A 23,797-nucleotide genomic window follows, 5' to 3' on the forward strand; every position below is an offset into this window, starting at 1 on the left:
TCCATATTTATTTTTTTCTTTTATTTATTTATTTATTTTATTTTATTATTATTATACTTTAAGTTTTAGGGTACATGTGCATAATGTGCAGGTTAGTTACATATGTATACATGTGCCATGCTGGGGAACATATTTATTTTTAAAAGCAAAGAAAGCATATCATTGGTACATAAGACTTTAAAAAATTATTACCTGATATATTTCACAGAGGAAATATTGTGTAGCTTTAATATTAATAGACACTTGCAGTAAAATCAGAATTTATATTTTGTACATATATTTATTTTAAATGAATATAAACAGCTATATCCTTTGCACTAAATTTTTACAGGAATTTTAAAAGAGAATGAAAGGCTCCTTCCATTGCATGTTAGACATGAAAAAAAGATAAAGAATCTTAGGATTCTTCAATGAGATTTGTATATTTTAGTTCTTATGAATTGCTATGGCAACACAACCCTAAAATTAGAGCTGAAATAGATGGGAAAACATTATTTGAAATGAAAATACTTTTACAAACATCATGTATAAGACAAGAAATAATACTGTTGCAGCATAATAAGAAATATATGTTTGGTTTCTGCCCCCAGTTCCTGACACTTAAATCATAAAATCCTTAGAATTTCCTGAATGGTCCAGGTGAGAGAAGTGTCTTTTTTTAATTCATAATAACTCCTTTTTGACCATACCTGAATTTATACTAATCAGGTGACCCTTGGATGCTTGGGACTCATCACTGGAAAGACCAAAGTATGATTAGAGTAGCTGGACATTTTGGTCCCAACCCTGGACCTCTGGGGAGAGGAGAGGGGCTGGAGATTGACTTGATCACCAATGCCAAGTGATTTAATCAATCATAATTAGGAAAGGAAACCTCCACAAAAACCCTAAATAATGGGGTTTGGAGAGTTTTTGGCTTGGTGTACACATGGAGGACCTGGGAGAGTGGTACGTCTGGGTAGATGGGAGCTCCGTGCCCCTGCCCCATACCTTGCCTCTTTCATGTGATTTTTCCTAAGTTGTGCCTTTTGTAATAAACTAGTAAGTAAAGTGTTTCCTTGAGTTCTTTGGGCCATTATAGCAATTTATTGAACTGAAGAAGGGGTTCATGCTAGTCAGAAGTTACAGGTGACAACTTCGGACTTGAGACTGAAATGGGGAAAGTATTATAGAAATGAGCCAATAATGTGTGTGGGATCTGTGTTAACTCCAGGTAGCTACTATTAGAGTGGTACTGAATTGTAGGGCACCCCAGTTGGTGGGTAAAGATAATTTGAGAATTGCTTGGTGTGCAAATAACTTACACATTTGGTTTCTATATGAGTAGAAGTGTTATGTTTGAGTAGAAGAGTAGTTTTTTCTTTAATTGCCTTTTTAAAATCCAAGGTGCTCCAAATCATCGATTTGTAGAAATCATATTGAGAAACGTGTGTGTAGCAAATTACAAAGTATTCTCAATGCTTCTAAGGTACCTTAGCACGTCAACTATCACTATAAATAGCATTTCCTATTAATATCCTAAAACCATACACAAAAATCTATAATTCACATTAACATGATAATTGATAAATAATATAATTGGTATATCTTGCATAAATACATTCATATTAATATCCTAAAATGATACTACTAAAATTGCATTTATGGGAAATAATTCTCCAGAAGCTCTTGCCTTTCTGCATATCTTGTGAGGAGGCACTGACTCTCTTGTTCTGGTCTATTTTTTTCAACGACCTTCTGGTAATGAACGACCCTGGGAGGCAGAGAAAGTTTGTCTCCATGGAGCAAACAAAGGGCAGGGGGATACTTACTGCCCATTATAAATGATTTGTTTTCCTAATTTCAAGCTGCCTCTGCTGTAATGCAATGCACTGGGTGGGCAGGGGTCACTTGGCTCTCTTGATGTTACCCCTGTGGGAATTGGGGCTCAAAAAAACTGTCACAAAAATGGTGGCAGTCTGTCTGTTGCTATTCTGTGAGTAACAAAATTCCCTTTGTGCCGATCCAGGATTCTCGTGACTTCTACCAGCATCCATTAAACTGTGGCAGGAGAACTCGTCACATTGCAAGGAGGGTAAAATCTCAGGCCTTTCATTGTTTTTTACAGACATGTTATTTCCTTAGCCCTACTTTGAGTGAACTAATTAGCAAATAAACTCTTCATTTTGGGAGACAAATGGCACTTTTGAAGTTCCGAGAACACGCTAATTTATAAAATGGCATATCTAGGTCGAAAACCAAATTCATCATTCATTTTTATGTTAATTTATCTCTTTTAAAAAATAATTCATACAAGAGATACTTTTCTTTTAAAACATATGTCAAATCATGTCACTCTCTTCTTCAAAACATGCCAGTGACTTCCTCATCCCACTCAGGGTAACATCGAAAGTGCTACCCACAGCCTACGGGGCTCTTCCAGACCCCATCTCCTGGTACTTCTCGAAATTGTCATGAGCCTTGCTCCCCACTGTCCACCCTGCAACCATCCGGGACTCTTCCTTGCTCTTCTTCAAACACACAACACACACCTTCTTCTGAGGGCCTTTGTGTCTGCTTCCTGTCTGTGAAACGACCTCCCTGTTTATCCTCCTGTGCTATGTTGCTCTAGACCTCTGACCACAGCAGCCAAGAGCCCACAGAACTAGTATTAGAACAGAATTGCTTCCAATGGTAGTAAGCACACCAAATTGTTTTAACACTTTCCTAACATACTTCTGCTCTTATTTATCTAATTTTTTTATCTTGTACATTTTGGTGTAGATCTCTCTTAAAATTTGGCTTTCCTTATAATTCTTATGTTGCTAAGGTATAGAGCAGTAAAAACTGCTGACCTGGGGAATAAGAACACCCACAGTACTTGGCACATAATTGATGACTGGGGCAAATACCTACTGCACCAAATATACCTCTCTTCTTTTTACCAATGTTCTCAGCTAAAAGACTGCACTTCTGCCTCACTGTTACATCCAGATATGGAAACGTAGCTAATTTCTGAGTAGTGATTTATAGCAGAACTTGTAGGTGATGTCCAGGAATGCTACTCAGAGAAGGTTTAGCTACTCTTTCCTTGATATGATTTGGTTGTGTCCCCACCCAAAACTCATCTTGAATTGTAGCTCCCACGATTCCCACATGTCATGGGGGGGACCTGGTCGGAGGTAATTGAATCATGGCATCTGGTCTTTCCTATGCTGTAATCATGATAGTGAGTCTGTCTCATGAGATCTGATGCTTTTATAAAGGGGAGTTCCTCTGCATGTGCTCTCTTGCCTGCTGCCATGTAAGATGTGACTTTGCTCCTCACTCACCTTCCACCATGATTGTGAGTCTTCCCCAGCCATGTGGAGCTGTGAGTCAATTAAACCTCTTTCTTTTATAAAGTACCCAGTCTTGGGTATGTCTTTATTAGCAGTGTGAGAACAGACTAATACATTCCCCCATCGCTCTTTCTTGCTACAGTAAAATCATCTGGGACACAGAATAGTAGAACATGAAAACAAAAAACAATAAAGGTATATGGTATTTAGGTCCCCAGTGTAAGAGTTCTGTCTACTTCTACTAATATATGACATAAAAATATATGACATGCCTACTTCTGCAAATATATGAGATGAAAGAGAAACAAATTTTTGTCCTGCTTCAGCCAGTATTGTTTTGGAGTTTCTGTTTTATGCATCAAAATATAATCTTGAATGAAAAACTACTCAAAGAGATTTGAGTAGGCTAATGTCATAGCCCCATCATTCTCTGTTACCCTATCCTATACCATTTTTATTCTATCATTTATCATCACCTGACAATGATGCCTTTATGATTAATTGTTCACTTGTTTGTTGCCTATTTCTTCTCTCCAAACCCCAACTAGACTACAAGTTGCAGGAGAACAGAAGCTCTTTCTTGATGGCTGGTATATTCTTAGCATCTGCAAACACAAGTACTCAGTAAATGTTAAATATGGTCATTGAATCTTTACAAGTGATCTTGTGCAATGAATATATAAATGAGGACTCTTATTTGGAGGTAAGACCATTACTTCTGCATTAAAAGCACTTACTGGAGATCAGGCTTCACTTTTTCACATTAAGTGAGGCTCAAAGATAAAATTGAGTGACCTGTTGGTAGCAGATCAAAGTCTTACAATCATAAAAGGCTCAAGGGTCCTATTATTCTGCAGACTTTTGGTTGATTCCACAGCTTGAAATCCCTAAAGGACACGCTGATTTCTCAATCTGCATATCAATGAACAGCCTTTCCTTAGCAAAGATGTTATCTTTAAATTACAAATGGAAACTTGACTCCATGTAAAACAGAGATTTGGAAAAGAAAGTATATACAATCTAGGGTAGGCACATGAGAAGTTTTTGACAACTTAGAGATAGTAAAGTGACCAATAATTATTCTTACAGTTGAAATATCTTGCGCATTATGACTACTATCCTCAGCCAACAAAACTCCTGGATGCATGCCATAATATATTTCCTGAGGCTTAGGAAGCGAGTCTAACTATTTTCACCGTACGAGGAGCAAGGGCATAATCAAGACCTAAGTGCACAAGGCCCACCGTGAAATTCCATTTTCCACTAACACTGGAAAATTAGGATGATAACACAGACTTAGATAAATGGGTCATTTGGTAATAGAAGAGAGCCTTAGAACTTTGGTGAATTTTTCACCTTATCAAAACTGGTAGAGTTCAGGGGAAAAAAACAGAACAGAATCTTAGACAAAGGGACTTCAAGTCCATTTGGTAGGATCCACTCAATTTGCATTTAAAAAGATTTAGGTGCAAAGCTATGGAGTGAGTTGCCCAAAGTCAATCTGGTCAAAGAGGAACTAGAACCAGAGCCCATTCCAGAAAGGCTCTTGTCTCTCCAGGGCACCATCCCATGAGCCCCTTTCTACAATTTTAGCAGAGAGTCCCTGACCTGGTTCTTCTATACATCCTGAAGAGCAAAAATTACCACAAAATACTAAGGCTGGCAGCACACTGCCTAGGAAATGGAAAGCCAAGAAGGCTCCATATAAACAACTTGCCCTCGTCACCCATGCTATGCCATTCCCTGCTAGATGTAGCCCATTTCCCCCACTCCCTTTGCATTCCTCGGGATCCTTTCTCTCCCATTTTTCCATTTTGTTAAAGATGGACTCCTGGCTGTCACTTTCAGCCATCAGTCTGTAGTGGGAGAGGGTGTGTGAAAAAATCAGATTTTGCAGTATTAACAAAATTGTAGCATCTAAGGTGATTTTACTTTTCATCTGTAACATAAGCCTTGGAGTCCGGATTTCAGTTTGAGATTGCCATAGAACACAGTCTGGGTATAAAATGAAGTGCAAAGACGTATGTTTGGGAAGAGGTGTGTGTGTCTAGGCGTGTATGTTTATATGTGTGCATGTGTGTGTATGTGTATGTGTGTGTTGGGTGTGTGTGTGTGCATATGTGTGTGTGCATGTATATGTGTGTGTGTGTACCTGTGTCTGTACGTGTTTGTATCTTTGTGCAAGTGTAACACATTTTGTGTCTCAGTCCTGATCCAGAGCAGAGGGATAAATAAAACAGTGACAGGATCAAACCTCATTATGTTCTCTGCCCTACTTGAGTTCAGGAAATGCGCTCTACCATAGTCTTTAGCTTTATTATTTAATGATGAAAGAAAATTTCTCTGACAGGTCTTATCATTGCAGATAATGATTGGCTCTTCTTATAGAGGATAACCATTGAATTGCTAATTTATACATGTTTGCTAACATCCTTCCTTCCCAGCTTTAAAATTCCTAACAGTGAAAGGATCTTTACCTGAAAACAAAGAAAAGTGTTTTTTTGTTTATTTGCTCATTTGTTTTCTATTCTCTTAAGAAATCTTTGCTTGGACTAAGTTTATACCCTACTACATGTCAGGAACTCTAAAGGGTGAGGGTGGGAAACCACAGATAAATAAATCATGCTATCTTCTCAACAAGGAGTCCATTCTGTAGAGAAAACCAACATCAAAAAATAGTTACCACTCTTGTGATAGGCTACAGTAAGACTACATACAGAGTCTTGCATGTGGGTCACATACATATGGGTCAAGGAAGGAAATGATTAATTTTCTAGGTGACTCAGGGAAGGCTTCATGATCTGGACTCTGTGAAATTCGGTAGAATCAGCCAGACAAATTGGAAAGGCCATTCTAGGAGGAAAAGAATCACTGGCACAATAGAGGCAGGTGTGAAATGGGATGCCATGTATTAAAAATGACAAGTGACAAGGAGTTTGGAAAAACAAAAGTGTAGAAAATAAATATTTCGTAGTCTCAGTGTAGGATTGACTTACCAATTGTTCCTACTCTGTCAAAATCTTCTGCGAGCAAGCCTTCTCATGGGAGTGAGAAAATAGGAGCCAGCATTACAAGGAAGGGAGTTAAGTAAACTCGGGGTCAATTCCCTTAAATAAATTAGAGAATAGGCACATTTTTATAACAAAAAGGGCCTACTATTCTCTGACCTAAGTAACATAAACTTGTTTCTTTTTCATATAATAAACTGGGAGTGGGCAAACCAGGCTGGCATGAAGGCTTGGCTCCAGAAAGATATTTTGGAGTCCAGGTTAGTTCCATCTTCTACCATTGACATCGTCCAGTTCCAGAGGTAGAAGGCGAAACTAACTTGGACTTTAAAATTTCATCATTCTCATCTGCATGTTGGAAGGTGGTTCACCATCAAGTCTGAGCTCCAACTTTAAGATGTGGGGAAAGGTGAAACACAAGGCAAGCAATTTCAAGCAAGGTATATGCAAATCTCACAGATCTGCCTGTTCCTCTAAAGTTGGTTGGAAACTGGTCAGGTGGCCACACCTAGGAGCAACAAGGGGCTGATACATGTTCTTGGAGACTAGCATGCAAAACCAGGAAGAAAGGAACATAGGTTTGGGAGAGAAAGCTAGATATCTGCAATACCCCCAAATTATCAAGTCAGTAGAAAACCCCAAAACTAGGTAATCTGTGATCCAGGAAAGGTGTGTTCATAATTCTTTTGAAAAGCGATCTACATATTAACCCTCACTGAATTTATTAGCTCTGTGATTTAAAGAATGATCCTAAGTGTTCTTGCCTCTACTGGGAAGATCTCCTTATTAGCTGATTTGGAAGATCTATTTTTTGTTACATTTTCTCTCCCTCAAGTTTTCTGTGACCTGTATGTTGTAAAGACCACCCCGTTCTTGAAACTCTCCCACCCAAGCCCATAAGCTTCTTAAATGCTGCTTCATCCCGGATCTCTTCAAGTTCCATTTTCACCTCCCTGTGTACGTTCTGGTTCTTCCTCTTCCTTCATCGCTTGAGTGGGCTCCTATCCTTGCCCACCTTCTTAGGCTACCCTTTCATTGGTAGCCTCCATCCTTTCATCATCAAGTAGCAGTTCTAATTTTTCCCTTTAGATGCAAATTTCCAGCTTAAAACCCTTTGAGATTCCATTCATCTAAAAGTATCTCCTGTGGGGTTTCACCAAGACCTGAAATTCTACAGGTCTAAAATTGATTGGTGCTATCTCCTCTTCCCAATTCTTGCCTCCTCGTTTTACTCATTGTGTATCCAATCTCCAGTCACTGGAACTTAACATTTGAATCTCTGATAGTCTCCACTTATTTGCTGTTGTCATTCCGTTTGTTGACATGTTCTTCCACCTTTTCTTTACAAATAAGTCCTAAATCCATCAACTTTTATTTTTTTCTGGTTGTTTCTACCCTAGCACAGTACCCTGTTCTCTCCCTCATGGACAATTTTTCTAAGTGGTTTGACATTAGTCTTGCCGTGTTGAAATAAATTTACTCATTTTGGACTAGTCCTTTTGATGTGTGTCAAATTTCAATTCATTCAACATTCTAATAGAGTAATTTTTCATCCTTTCTTGTGATGTTTTCATTGGCCTAGGATGCTTTCCTCTCTTATACTTACTTGAATGGAACAAATGTTTTGAATTCTGTCTCAAAACTTCTTTTATATCCTCTACCACAACAACCTCAGCCCAGGCAATCATTCTGGCATTTAATTCATACTCATTATATATTGCCTTGATGCTTTCCATAAATGAAAATCTTATATATTACCTATCAACTAGATTGTTGTATCATTGTGATATGAATCTTATTTATTTTTACCTGTGTTCCATAGTACATATTAAAATGAGTTATCTTTAATATAAAAATAATAAATACTGCTAATCTTCTAAGTAGCATCTGAATTTTGGAAGACGGAACCACTCGTATGAATATGTAGAACTATACTGTGTGTTGAAAATCACAGATTCTTAACTGATTTGTATTTCATTTCTTAAGTATGCTGCTATGTTTGTACCCTTTAGAGCCCCAAGCCAAAGATTATTCTTATTGTGGATTTTGCACTTCTCCCATCTTCCATGTATAAGCCATCAGCAAGTCCATTTATTTCTACCATATTCCTTCTCAATTACTGTCACTCTGCTCCAAGCCATCATTGTACTTTGCCTGAATTACTACAAACCCTAAGTTTTCTCCATGCTTTCATGCTAACATTCCATAATCACCTCTCTATTTCAATATTCAGTTTTTTTGAGACAGAGTCTCACTTTGTTGCCCAGGCTGGAGTGCAGTGGCACAATCTCAGCTCACTGCAACCTCCACCTCTTGTGTTCAAGTGATTCTCCTGCCTCAGCCTCTGGAGTGGCTGGGATTACAGGCACACGCCACCACGCCCAGCTCATTTTGTGTGTTTAGTAGAAACAGGGTTTTACCATGTTGGCAAGACCGGTCTTGAACTCCTGACCACAGATGATCCGCCTGCCTAGGCCTCCCAAAGTGCTGGGATTACAGGCATAAGCCACTGCACTTGGCCATAATATTCATTTTCATAATCAATATCCATTCAGGTCTTCCTGAGGGCACTGTGCCCCCTCCTTATGTGGTCACTGGAGACAGAGCAAAGAGAAAAGCAAAGTCTCTGTTGTGAGAATCCAGGCCACCCTCTCCCCTTGGCCACATGGCCCCTTGTGTCTCTTTCCTGCCTTCCTTTCACCTCACAGTCTGATGCCTTTCTTTTCTTTTCTTTTTAACCTTAAATATGTCCAATTTTTATTTGACAATTAAGCTATTTTTCTTTTTTTTTTTAGCTGATTTCATATTTTTTTTTTATTATACTTTAAGTTTTAGGGTACATGTGCACAATGTGCAGGTTAGTTACATATGTATACATGTGCCATGCTGGTGTGCTGCACCCACTAACTCGTCATCTAGCATTAGGTATATCTCCCAATACTATCCCTTCCCCCTCCCCCACCTTTTAAACTGTTGGTGGGACTGTAAACTAGTTCAACCATTGTGGAAGTCAGTGTGGCGATTCCTCAGGGATCTAGAACTAGAAATACCATTTGACCCAGCCATCCCATTACTGGGTATATACCCAAAGGACTATAAATCATGCTGCTATAAAGACACATGCACACGTATGTTTATTGCGGCATTATTCACAATAGCAAAGACTTGGAACCAACCCAAATGTCCAATAATGATAGACTGGATTAAGAAAATGTGGCACATATACACCATGGAATACTATGCAGCCATAAAAAATGATGAGTTCATGTCCTTTGTAGGGACATAGATGAAATTGGAAATCATCATTCTCAGCAAACTATCACAAGAACAAAAAACCAAACACCGCATATTCTCACTCATAGGTGGGAATTGAACAATGAGAACACATGGACACAGGAAGGGGAACGTCACACTCTGGGGCCTTTCTTTTCAAACACCAAACTCCATTAATGTCTTCCTTTTTCTCCATAATACTTTTACCTATTTCCCACCCCAGGGCTTTAGCATCTGCCTTTTTCATGCCTGGAAAGCTCTGCCTGAATTGTGTGCAGGGCCCTATCCTCTTCATCATTCATGTGTCAAGCCCAATGGCACCTCTCCCACAGGTCTGCTCCAGCTGACGGTTCAAAAGTAGCACTTCCCACCCCACATGCATGACATCAGCACCCACTTTAATTTTCTTCATTGTCCTCTTTACTCTCTCATATTATTTTCGGTATGTCAGATTTTTGACTCTTTCCTTAAGACTCTCAGTTTTATGAAAGAAAGAATGTTTTCTTGCTTGTGGCTTTATTTCTTGGGCCTGGCACAGCAAATAATGGATCAAATTAATCATATATTCTTTCAAGTTTTGAGGAAAAAGCTTAAAACTTTGGAGAATCATGTTTAATGCACAGATTGTTTTCCTCTTCCTGAATTATAACTAAACATTTTAACAACAGTGGAAAAGACAGCCAGGTTTTGACCAGCAAGGACTACAGACTTGGTGATGATTCAAGAGTCAAAGAGAAAGAGCCAAGGAACAAAAAGAAAGAAAGAGTCACCTTAACAATGGGAGAAACACTGCCCTTGTCGGTGCCAGTCTGAACAGGAGCCAAGAAAGGCTTTAAATGAGTTGGAGACCAGAGAAAAATAGTCAAAATACGGTAAACCCAGATAAGAGCAACGTAAAAGGCTCTGGCTGTGAAAACTAAGACTAGGAAATGATTTTTTCAAGAAAAAATTTAAAAATAGAGTTACGTCTCCTGTTTTGTTCACGTTGTTTGTTCCTCGGACGCATTTTGATTCAGCTAAGGCAAGCTGACCACTGTTTCAAGACGGTATTTGTCAAAGGCTGGGCAACTGCTGTGTCATTGTCTCTTCTTGGTATTATGCAAATGTGACCATGTGATATGTTTTTGTGTAAACAAAAAAGTAACACCATTAAGGACCAGAACAGGGGGAACAGAATCAACAAAGGAAAGCTCTGTAACTTAGTGCACTATCATTCCGTATCTGATTCATACCTTTGAGCTTCCTACTTAGCATTTGTCTTAATTATTATATATGTCTTGAAAGCATAATATAGTGTTTATCTGTTCTGTCTAGAGGAAAGCAATCACAGCATATCAAATAAACTTCCAAAATCAATGGTCTTGCTAATTTAATTAAAAACTGACACATAAAACCTTGTGTACTACAAGAAAATTGTGTAAAGAGAGAAGGATCCAAATTATGAAGAAGGAAACATCAATCTAGTTCTGGTTGGAACTAAGTTTTAATAAAACAAAATGAGTGTATATTCCAATACATGTCTGGATAATGGATATATCCTTGCAAGCAGGTCCTTGAGCCCTGTACAGCTCATAAGCAAATGGCATCTATTACAACTAGCAAATTGCATCTATTTTTCTTCATAAGCAAATTGTATCTATTTTTCTATTCTGACACCATATCAGACCCTCATCAATTCACATACAGTTCATTAAAATAGTCTCCCATTTTTGGTGACTGTTCTCACCTATCGTCTTACACAAATCCATAATAATAATTGTTCTAGTTCCTCGCAATTTCAGCCTATGGTGATCATTCCCACAAAAGATGCCTTTGGACATTTACTTTTCATGTGACTCATTTACTCCAGAATTATAGGCTTGCTTCTAGGAATTCTGTGTTTCATTCTACATTCTTGTTGAACTCTCCAGTGCTGTAGGTTGCTTAGCCAAAATCTCTGGATATGAAACACATTATCTACACTATATATAAAATTTCAAAAATAATGAGAAAGATAATTTTGTTGACTCATGGTGCCTAAATTACCATAAATGACATAAATCCTTTAAAATAGATTCATTTTTCAAAGTCCTTAATGACTCCGAAGTAGACATTAAGAAAGGCATAGGGCAGAAGCCTGGATAAGGCATGGGCCCTGCTTTGTCCATAATATAACACTACTGTGTGAAGAAACACACAAATACCACAGAGGGTAACAAACATGACAGTGACGCCAGAAATACACGTGTTACAGAAGTGCCACTGCATTGTCAGAGAAGCAGGAAGGGATTCACAGGCAGATAACACTTGCATCTAGTCCCAAAGGCTGAGAACATTCCAGTTCCAAAAGATAACCCTTGCAAACTATCCAGGAGCAAGAGAAAATCAGGAAATGTCAAAAATCAAGCACGGTGCAGTGCCAGTTGAATTTGGGGCAGGAGGCATGACTGGCTATGGGGTCAGAATTTAAAGAAGATTGTTTCAACTTCAACCTATGGTTACAAATTGTTTCTTTTCTTAAAATTTAATGTAAGGAAAGATTCAAAGTAATTTTGAAAATATATACATGAAATATTTCTTGTACTTTTAAGCAAATGTGCATACTTAAAATGTGGAGTTCATATTTAAGATCAAAGAATTCTAAGAATAATACGTTCATTATGACTCCCTTAAATAAAAAGAAAATCCTGTATAATTCAGTTTGAAACTTTCATGTGTAATCAATGTGTAGCCTAAAATGAGTCTACGCGTGCACATCCACACACTGCTCCATACACTGCTTTCTCACCTGGGTTTTGCTGTTGAGAAATCCAAAGCCATTCTGACCTCTGATTCCTGGTATATCACCTTTTCCCCCCTCTCTGGAAGCTTTTGGAATCATCCTTTCATCATTTATGGCTTGAAATATCTCAGCAATGCATATAGGAGTAGGACTAGTTTCATCATTTACAGGAACACTTCTTGAAAGATTTCATTACAATTTCCTCCCTCTTTTCTCTGTCTCTTTTAGAGAGTCAGAAGGAAATAAAGATTCTGAATTTGATAGATAAGACATATAGACATATAACATTATGCTATTTATGAAACATAATGTTATATAAATATATAATTTATAAATTTTAAGATTTACAATGCATATGTATTTTTGCAAGAATGAGTTTAATGATACGCTTCTCCACTTCAGGGTCTAAATAAATGTTCAAATAATGTTATCAACATTTTTACATTGTCAAACAAGTTAAATTTTTATTCTAAGATATTTTTGTTCAGATCACTTTTAAGTTATGAAATATGATTTGGTAAAAGAGGCATGACCTCTGCTTTCATATTTTAAATATTTTTATGTCTTTTGGATGTGTGGCCAATGATATAATGTAGCAGGAGTGATCCATCAGAACAAGACTATTACAATGGCTATTGTGATTTTAAGACCAGTTTCAAGATGTGAACTTTTAGAAATAAACAAATTGTTTGAGCTCTCAGTGTAACTGATATTAAAAATACACTGTGAGCACATATGACTATCAGCATTCTCTTACCTAAAGAGAGCCAGGATTCTTTACCTGGCATCAGTAAATACACATTTTTGGAAGTACTTAACCTCCAAGGACTATTACAAAGAGTGTGTTTATAAGTTTGAAAGGGGTACAAATTTTCAAAGCAATATGTGTCTCCAAGAGTTACTGTCTAGCAAAATACCCTGTAACCTTTCTTTCCCCTGCTACAGAATGCAGCTTTTTCCCTGGCCCTGTTTCTCTCTTTTCCTCATTAACTTTCTTCTTTGGCTCCCAGGTAAAGAGAGAGGTTTTCTACACCCCTATTCTAAGGACAAAAAAATCATCTTAAATACCCTTTATCTTTCATAAGGGAGTATATAGCAATGAGGCATAATTGCCATCCAGGACTTTAGGTGAAATTTTGAAGGATATCTGGTACCTGAACATATAGAATCTATACTTTAAATTTATGGAAAATCGTTTAAAAATGTGCTATGACCTAGGGACTCTCAATAAATAGTCTCTCTATCCTGTGAAATATGCATTTTCTGAAATGAATGAACATAGGGAAAAGGAAATTGGTCAAATAATCATCTGTGAATATAAGATTAATACGTACCTGATACACATGAAAATTAGACATATATCACAGTTATTTAAGAGATTTAACAGAAACTGTGATTTGGAAAGTTGGATAGTCTAAAGCTATCACTAATAAGCAAGGTCCTTCCAGGGTGAAATAATTGAAAGTATTTTAATGCATGCCTGTTTAAGAATATGAGTTTTCTTCTAAATTTTAGACTTGAAAAACCCTTATTTTTCTGTATTCATTCATCAATTTACACCTGCAGTTTAACATCATAAATCAAACCTAAAGGAAGCAGTGATTAATATGTTAAAGATGGACAACAGTTAGAAGAGGCTTTTAAATGATTGCTTCTTATGGGAATGTCAAGTATCAGATTATTCTCATCCCTTATTACTGTATGAAATGATGTTAAAATACACTGTAATGTTGACTAAACTGCCCTCATACTTTTTATTACTCGTATTTTTCACTTGTGATATATGGAGCAGTTCACTTCTAACAGCAAGTAGATCTCACTATCATTTCCGTAGCCACTCACTTGGGAGGTCCCTGTGCCATGCCTCACTCCACGTGAAGCCCACAGGCTGGGTGGCCATATCTGCTCACACTTTCCTCCCAACACAGTCCTTCAGATTATTTTGCAGCCTGCTTCTTTCACTGCCTGGTATTGCCATTATTATTATCATCATCATCATCACTGTTACCATCACTACTTCTTCCTATTAGGCTACTACTTCTTAATTACCTATTACATGCTATAAATGCTGCCTTCTAAAAGGCACAGAAAGATAAAGTAATCGGCAGTAGACACACAGATAAAATGTGACATAACTGCAATTCTAATATATTCTGACTTTATAGTAGAAACTTGCCTACCATATTAAGATATCAATCTCCTTTGAACGAAAGAGATATGTTTTATCTATCTTTTAATCCAACCCGGTCATTTTTTTCCAAAATATACTCCTAATAATCAGTTGTTTAAATAAATCAAATAAAGAATATCTTTTCTTCTTTTACCTGAAAATAGATACAGATAAATTTGAGAAATTACTAGATCACACTTTTAACCAACCAAACAAACCAAATCAAGGCTAGCATGGCAAATGCGAGTAAAGAAAAAAAATACTCGGTAAACCCAAGTGCTTTCTCAGGAAAAAAAATAGAATAGAAAAAAAAAATCCAACGTATCTGGGAAGAAATATGAGGTTTCACCCTTAGTCAAGGCCAATAATTTTGTTTTAAGGAACCAACAAATTACTGTCAGTTTTCTGAAGGTTTCATAGAGGCAAAGGAGAAAGCTTCTGTGTTTTTCTTTTCTTAAGGAAAAAATATGAAATATTGGACAAAATTCCAATGATGATGTTTTAGCCCAGCTTTGATTCATTTCAACAGCACCTTCTGGATGGCGGCTCCACTATGGGAAATTACCAGCCATTTATCATCACCTACTTCCTGCTTGCTGGGGCCTCATAACCCAGCTGACAGCCTCTGCCATCTGTTCTTGGATAATAGTCAAGGACAATAAATACCTCAGAACAACAAAACATCACTCTTTGTGTTTATTTTTTCGGCCATTACCACATACCAATTTCATAAACACACTCTATGGTATTTCATTAACTTAATCACTCATTTCACAAAATCCTTTCTATTGAGGAAAAATATCAATTCTCTGAAATATCAAGCAAAGCATGTATTTAATTACTTTTGACCATATGTTTAGCACTGGAACATTTGCTTATGATAGAGGTAGGATTCAAAATTAGTATTCTGCACCATCTAATGTGAAAAGTTGAGATCTGGAAGAATGCCTGTCACCTCAGCAGGTGACAAAAATGGAGATAAGCAATGGCATTGATTTTACTTATATTGAATATAGAAGGCTATGTGTGAAAGAGAAAAATGGAAAGAAAGGGAATTCATGGCCCAGGTACCTCATAGAATTGTGGCACCCTTGGAAAAGTGCTATCTATAGGGAAAGCTGGTTTGAATCTGCAGCTTCATCACATACTACTACTGAATCTTAATCCCACTTTTCTCATTTACAAAGTGGGGCAATACCATCTTACCAACTTCACAGGATGGTTAGTAAAAGACGAAAACACTGTAAAATGCAGTCTTATACCCCTTTACTAATAAAGATCCTGGCAGTCAATGCAGCTTGAAGACATATGAGTCTACAGTTTGCATGTGACGGCCCTGTGATTCACTGGGACTCCAAACAGTAAATTCAACAGCTTCAGCATGCTTTTAGAATACCATTCTGTTATGAGTCCATTTCAAATTTTTTAAAGGCTATTTAAATAAATCATTGTATTTATCTATTTATGGGAAGTAGGTTACTCAACTTGTATTTTAGGAATATATTTTCAAAAAGTAATCACTCAGAGATCTCTTGCCTACATTTAAAGCTCCCCTATGGAGATTTTTTTTTTTTTTGCTAGGAATGAGTCTACAAAATGCAGGAGAGCAAACCAAATAGACAAATGTAAGGAATATTGTCTAAGGGACTACCAGATCTCCAAAATGCCACTACTTTTTGTATCCTACTATTCTCAACATTCTGTGTCAGTTACCTGTGGGCTCTAAGATTCACGTACAGAGAAGAAAAAATGGATGAGCATTAAAGACAAAAAATGAAGATGTCATAGTAGAAGGAGAAATAGTAAGTTATAAGGAATAGATTAGAAATAGATTTACCATGATTAATCTATTATGCTAGCAAACTTATATAGAGCCATGCATTAGTAGATTGATTAGATAAATCTTATGAATCTCTTTATTTGAAAACCAAAAGTATTACATTGCCACTCAGTTTTGGACCTTTACTCACGAGTATCTGATTCTTGCTCCTGGTTCTGAATGATACTTCTACTTAGAACTGTGCCTCAGATGTCACACAGCTCCCAGATAAATGAGGGTAATCAAAGTTCTTGAACATCAGTGTTTCTGATGTTCAAGATAGTAGGTGTAGGACAGTCAGGAAGGGAACACAGACCTCTCACAAGGCTTATAAGAGTTTCTACATATGAACTGCAGAGATTGAGGTGCTTTCCCCAACCACACGTGGGTTCCTTAAAGACAAAGACCTAAAAAATGAGGCACTGCCAAAATCATAAACAGTCTCTTCGGAAGATCAGTTTATCAGTGTACAAATACACTTACTGCTAAACTATATCTTTCAGGGTATTCTTTCCCTATTTCAATTGTGACTTGATTTTTAACCTGTTTCTCTGTAATGAAAATACAATTCCAAATATAAATGTCATTTTAGGAATAATAATTGTGGACAAAATCACAATCCAATTTGTTATAGCTGGGCAGAGGGAGAATAAAAGGAAAAGCAAGAGTAAGAATGGATAAAAACGCACTCTTATAAGTGAGTCTGAGAAAGTGCTGTGTTTGCATTTGATATGAGGAAAAAGGGATTACCAGGTGATTTTAAAAAAAGTCAATAACATGGGCAGTCTGAGATGCAGCATTCTTCACAACTTTGTCCAGAGACGAACAATGAGAGGCATGTGATCTGAATCAACACTTGACTAACTTATTATTTTTTTATTAGATTAATTGTTGTCCATAATTTTGTTTTCAACTGGGCTAGAGGTGAGCAAAACTGAACAGGTGCACAGCTCTCTCACATGGATGCATCCCTGCTAGACTGTAAACCACACATGGAGATGGAGTGTCTAACTCCTCTCTTCTGTATCTCCAGGACCTAGCACAATAAAATGTACTGAACAAATGTGTGCATGGAAGAATGAACGACTGGCCAGCTTATGAATATTCTCTTGCTTACTTTACCAAGAGACTTTATTCCCAGAGTGCTATTTAATGAACCCACCATTGTCCATCTATGAAGGACTGTTCTCACAATTCTCGCATCAAGTGGGCACATTCCTAAACATCTTTCTCTACTCTTTCATGGTGACACCATCCAAGAGCTTCCAAAAGTGGACTGTCCATGGGAGGCCCCTGTTGCCATACACACATTTCAGCTGAGAATGAAAGAACAAAGAGCCTTAACAGAAATTAGTTTATCAAATAAGTTAGTGACCCAAACTGCTTTAGGCAATGTTGAGTCCCTGTCTTGATGCCATGTGATGTAGAATTGAACATGGGTATGTTGGAGAGTCTGGAAAGACTAAGCTGAGAAATGAGACTGTGACAACTTGGATATCTAGAGGCCCTAAAGGGAGCCCTGGGAAACCAGAATGACCTAAGCATGCCTGGGAATAACACAGAGACCCCAAATAATTGGGTACAGAAAAAGCACCTGCAATTATGAGGGTTTGGGCATACGTGAAAGACAGAATGAAGTCATCAAAGAGCCACACTGGGCATTTCATTGTTTTGATGAAGGCTGTTTGGTGCCTGTAAATCTGCTGTCTGTGAGTGTAAAAGGAAACATGGAGTAAGTAAACTTTACTTGTGTATTTTTTGACATGTAGTCTTTTAAATCCACATCTGCATAATTTTGACTGTGCAGAAAAATATCCTTTTAATTTTTATTTTTTCTAAATAGGGCATATTTGGCATCACGTCAGTGGCATTCTGCATAGGTACAAAACTGAATCAATCATGTTTTCAGTGAATAAATGCGGGGGAAAAAAGAAAGCCGAATCCTTAAGCATCAAGAGCATGTAAACCTCGGTAAATGGCAACGCCACAATTTGTGTCATTTTAAGAAATAGTTTAAGCATTTGAAAATGCTGAAATGATCAACTTTGTCAAAGGTTAAGACACATTTCTGCCCAAAATAATTTAATTGCAATCCATTTTAATTGAAAGTTAGCCTAAAATATTCAGGACAGGGGAGAGCAAACACATTACTGCCAAGATATTTCAGACCAGAATTTTTGTTTATGGTTTTCCTTATTTTTGAGGAGTAGCGTATACAATGAATTCTCAAGAAGTCAAGAATGAAATACCAATTTACGAATTATCCAAATTATTGTTTATCTTGTGTCCTTTCTTCTGCTTTTTAACATTTTTTATGAATACTGGCTCACTCGGAGTTTTTAGAAAAATCAAGAAGATAAATCTGAATGTACTACTTTCATCACCGTTAAAATCTTGGATGTTCTTCGGGGTCACGAGTGAAGCCAAAAGCAAATTCCAAGTGTCTAAATTTTGGTAGCTTTTTACCAAATGGCAATGGCAATCTTTCTACTAGGATAAATTTGTGTATAAAAATAATTGCTGAAACACCAAGATTTTACAAGTGCATTGAATCAACAGCAAATTCAGTTAAGTTTTGGGAAGGTTTAAAACTTCATTTTAGGAATTCTTGATATATTCAAACAGTTATCTGTGACTTGAGGGTAAATGATCTATCCAGGGTATTTTTTTCCCTGTGCATTAAAGAATAGCTGGTATTTGCAATTAAATATTAATTTTATTAGATCACACCTGTTTAGTTTTCATAAAAGTTAACATAAATTTATCTGAATTATGAGTAATTAGATGGCAATTGTGATACAAAACATGAAATTAGAATATTTCCAAAATACATGTATAATTGAATATTGATTAAAGTGGTAAGTTATCTAGTAAACTTGTATCTTCTTTCTTTGCCTGACTTTTGGAATTTCCCTTGAGGCAGGGCTTATATGATATGATGGGACTTGAAATATTTGCTAATAACATATCAGGCAGGATAACCAAACAGATTGCACAGCTAGTCAGCTGACATCTCAGATGAAAGATGGTACTGGTAGCTACTAGGCACTTCCACCACTTCTATTACGAATAGATTACTATTTCTTGCTTTTTTACTTGAATGGAATTAAATTTTCTTTGTGTACTTGTTCTTGGTTGGCAGGAGAGACACTAGACATACAGAAAGACTGTAATTATAATAGTCATGAGTACTATTTTTGACAAATATCCTTATAGTGAAAAGTACCACCATCATAAAGTTAGAAAATGTTTAATCTTTATTTAGCACATAAAGATAAATGAAATGATAAAAAATTTCAAATGAGTAGTAAGAAATCCATGAAAATTATAATATTCAACATCTGACTTGCAAAATATTAATTTTATTTCTATAAGTTGTTTTTATAGGAAACAGAAATGAGTTCATTAACTTCTAAATTTCAAAGCATTTTAGAGTCACTTAGAAGAAAATGCAATTTACGACCTTCAGGATGATTATTGTATTGTGAGATATTGTATTGCCTTAAGTATCATGTGCTCAACAAGTTTGTCCATTGGTGGAAAGAAAATAGTTTGAATTTTAGACTGTTAAATATATAATAAACCATCTCCATTTCTATTAGTAAGAAAAACCAAAAAGTCTTCCTAGCTCGCACTGTACAGTATAATAATGTTTTGTATATTTGGTGACATCAAGAAAGATTTAGAACAGAGAAGAGTTTGCTATTTAAAATGGAGTTATTCTCGGAGGTTAGAAACAAGTCTCATCCTTTTCTAACTCCTTTCTTTGTCCATTTATACATCTATCATGTGTGAATTTCTCTAAGCTGACTTCTGTTGGAGTAAGTGGGTATCAGTTTACATTGCCTTATGAGGAAGACGTTGAGCCTGTGTGTCATGTCGCAGTGGTAACTGAGAAGAGGCCAAGCACCTTTCTCATGTACAGTTTTGATGACTCTCCTGCTCAATCATCATCCCCCACCCTCCACACTTCCTTCTGAGATATGCCTTTGTCTTACAGACACCTGAAATCCCCCTACATTAGCTGTAGTTGATGGATTAAACATAGAAGTCATAGGATAGGTAGGATTGTTTGTAAGCATTCTATTAGAAACTCTAGCACAGAGTTTATAAAGACTGTTATAAAACTTACTGATAGAAATAACATGTAAATGTAAAACTGAGAAACAGTAAAGAGAAAAGAGACCAACCAGTGATCCAAATGCCTAATGGAAGTAATAAAGATGAGAGTAACAATAGAATTCCCATTAAGATAACTCAATAGTTTCGTGATGCCAAGTAATAAAAAGAAACAGTCAAATGAGCATAAAATGGAAATGAGTATAAGATCGAGTATGGATGGAAATATTCCAGAGACCTCTTCCCTCCCGCAGCTTTAGTAAATGCAGTGACATATGAGTAACAGTCTTCATTTGAGTGACCAAGTTTAATACGTATTCTGCACATAATAGGCTTCCATCATTCAGCATTGAGACTTCTTCAGAGACTGACTGAAAGATTTCAGTACATCCAAACCTATCTTTTAGATAAAATGTCAGTATGCAAATGTAAAATTTGATTAGAAGATTTTTACTTACTTTATTATACACATCAATTAAATGCCAGATGCAACATAAGGAGTAATTCAGAGTCATTTTCTTTAATTTTTATTATGGGGTTGACTTTGCCTCCAACTGAGTGAAATGTAACTGGATTTAGGTCTGTTTGATTGTACAGCCCTTCCCACTACTTTCATAAAAAGAAGAAAGCCATTTAAATTTTCTTCACTCACTTGGAGTTTTAGAATTGCTTCATGCTGAAAGAAACAAAGTATGAAAGAAAACTTTGTGAATGATTCTCAGTATTTGCTTTTCAAACGCGAAGATATATTTAACTCAATTAAAATATTTGGTAAAATAATTTCTAAAAATTAAACATTGTCTGAACATTTTCCCTCAACAGTCAACATAGACAAAGAAGGACTCTTATTTCTAATAATACTGAAGATGGATGGAGACCGTATGATCCTTGGGACAACCAAGTAAATAATTGACAGTGTTTGACCTCCGATTTCAAATATTTACCTAACCACGTGCAAAAATTTTACTCAGATGACACTTTCTAATGATTTTACTCAGTGTTCCTTAGAAATCTGCTATACTATCATCTCATTTTTATCTGGCAAAGAAAATGTATGTGTGTGTACATGTGTAAATAATTTTTTAAATGCCAAGTAAAAGTATATTCAGTATTTTTAAGCTTTGAATCTGTATGTAGCTAAAAATATTCTTAATGACTTGTTAGACTCTCTCAAATAAATAATTTAAATTACTTTTAATCTACCTCAAAATGTGATATTTGCTATGATGACTAGGAAAGAAAAGATGGAATACTGGCAAAACTAGTTAAACTTCAAATATTTAGAAAATCTCATTAATCTGTGGAAAACTTAATTCACTGATCAATTAAACATTGCATAGATCTGTAGCTTATTCTAGCAAGAGGAAGAATTCATTTAAAAAATACCTTAAAATATTATTCCAACTATTTTTATTATATAAGAGAGTTTTATTAAAAGTATGGTTTGTCCTTTGACATTATTTACACCATTGCTATGAAAAAACATTACTTAGTTCTAAGAAGAAGGGAAGTACTGGCATAAAACTGGCATGTCATAAAAAATTAATAAATTCTACTAGCAGAATAAAAAATAGATAACTTTATTTCATGGCAAAATAACAGAATGCCTTGATTCAGCTTAACCTAGGCTCATCTTGATGTATATGAAATTGAAACTCTATAGAAAACATTTACTCATTTTTTGGTTGTTATCATCAACTTCTAAAATTCAGTAATTATCAAGGTCCAAACAGATCATTCATACATTTTAGAAAAACCTTCTTTGCATGACTTTTAACAGCATTTGTAGTTACCGATAAATTCTTAAAAATAAAGATACATAAAAATGAAATCCTCTCTGGATGCAAATCATCTGTTCTTTCTGGCATCTATACACATTCTTTATTTCTTTTTCCTCAATTCAAAAGTTTTCAATGTTTTAGCATTTGGGTAGCAGTCTAAAGAAATATAAGCAAGCATAAATCTTTTATAGATATATAAAAATATTTTTAGTTAACGCTGTTGATCTCTTTAGCAAAGGTCATCTTTTAATATATTTACTCTAACTGCATTAGAGGGTAATTTTTAGAATTAAGGTGGTCCTGCATCTCCTTGACGAAGTACATATTGTGTTCATTTTTAAATTAATTAAGCAATAGATTTCAAATAAACACTTTCAATACACTTAGGACCATAAATTTAATCTAGGAATTTAAACCTTAAGAACATTTAATGCTGTACATTATTCTAAAACATCTTATTTTATGCATATAAGTCAACTTCTAAGACTAGAATTATTTACCTGATGAAAATGATATTAATATTTTAATCAAATATTTATCCATGGTTTTATTATTTAATTTTTATGGCTACTTTTTAACCCTAGAATTTTATTATAATTCTTGAGAAAGAGTATGCATTGACAAATGTTGACTGAATTAAATTTTACATGGTACTAGGTCATTATCCTCTAGTCACCATAATTTCCCAGAAGAAATAAGCAAGTTTTTAATAAATTCAATTAGCAGATTATACCCCTAAATGAACAGTGATAAACACACAGGACTTTAAAACTGCTGAGAGACCTAAGTCTATCTCCCCAAATTTTGTCTTTCACACCATTCAATAAATTCCAACACTGAGATCCTAGGAGTCAAACGATGTGTTTGGGGCACATACATCATTTGCTTGACATCACACAGCTCATGATACCATGAATCCTCGAGTAATAATAAAACAACCGTTTAATGCTATCACTGCATATCTAGAAAAATATCAATTATGATCAATGACCAACTCAGGACTGCTTCTGGAATGTTTTCAACAGGAAAAAAAAAAAAACAGAAACGGAAACTTGTATTTGTTTAGAGATTGTCTTGGATCAGGTGCCATAGAAGGTCTTTTCAAATATATTTAATCTTCCTAACAATATTTAGGGGAGTCCATGGCAGGAAGTAGAAACTGTAGAATACCGAGCTTTAGGCCCACAGATAACATGACAAATTTACAGCTAAATAAAACCTCCTTTATCAAAAGCATGACATTATGTCAACCTTCTAGATAACGATCCATTCATTCATCTCCTTTTCTTCAAATCCAAATCCCTCAAAACTGACACTCTAACAAGCCCTTCTGTCCACTCTTCAATTCATGGAAATTGAGCAGAAAGTGGGCTGTAGTCTACATAATCTCCAAATCCCAAGTCTGCGTTGTCATCCGTAGCTTCCAGCATGACAGCAATAGTGCAAAATTTTACTACATCAATTCCCCTATTAACACTCTCTCCTTTACCTTATTATGTGAAAATTAGGCACTCAACAAAGATGAATTGATTTATGAATAACACAT

The 23,797-nt window shown here is 36.0% G+C and overlaps 1 protein-coding gene across 1 annotated transcript in view, besides 1 other annotated feature; it reads right to left on the reverse strand.

The window, feature by feature from the left end:
* The window catches only part of NALF1 (NALCN channel auxiliary factor 1), a 703,987-nt gene that overhangs the window by 407,032 nt on the left and 273,158 nt on the right, over positions 1–23,797 (reverse strand). The gene's annotated exons all lie outside the window — the stretch shown is intronic.
* Positions 3,712–4,375: an enhancer, noted in NCBI's record as "OCT4-NANOG hESC enhancer chr13:108226601-108227264 (GRCh37/hg19 assembly coordinates)". NCBI's record gives its function as "activates a minimal SCP1, AML or CMV promoter by ChIP-STARR-seq in naive and primed H9 embryonic stem cells {active_cell/tissue: H9 hESC(naive and primed)}" and the evidence as "EXISTENCE:reporter gene assay evidence [ECO:0000049][PMID:30033119]".

This window comes from Homo sapiens, chromosome 13, assembly GCF_000001405.40.
Source record: "Homo sapiens chromosome 13, GRCh38.p14 Primary Assembly".
In the NCBI taxonomy this organism is placed as follows: domain Eukaryota; kingdom Metazoa; phylum Chordata; class Mammalia; order Primates; family Hominidae; genus Homo; species Homo sapiens.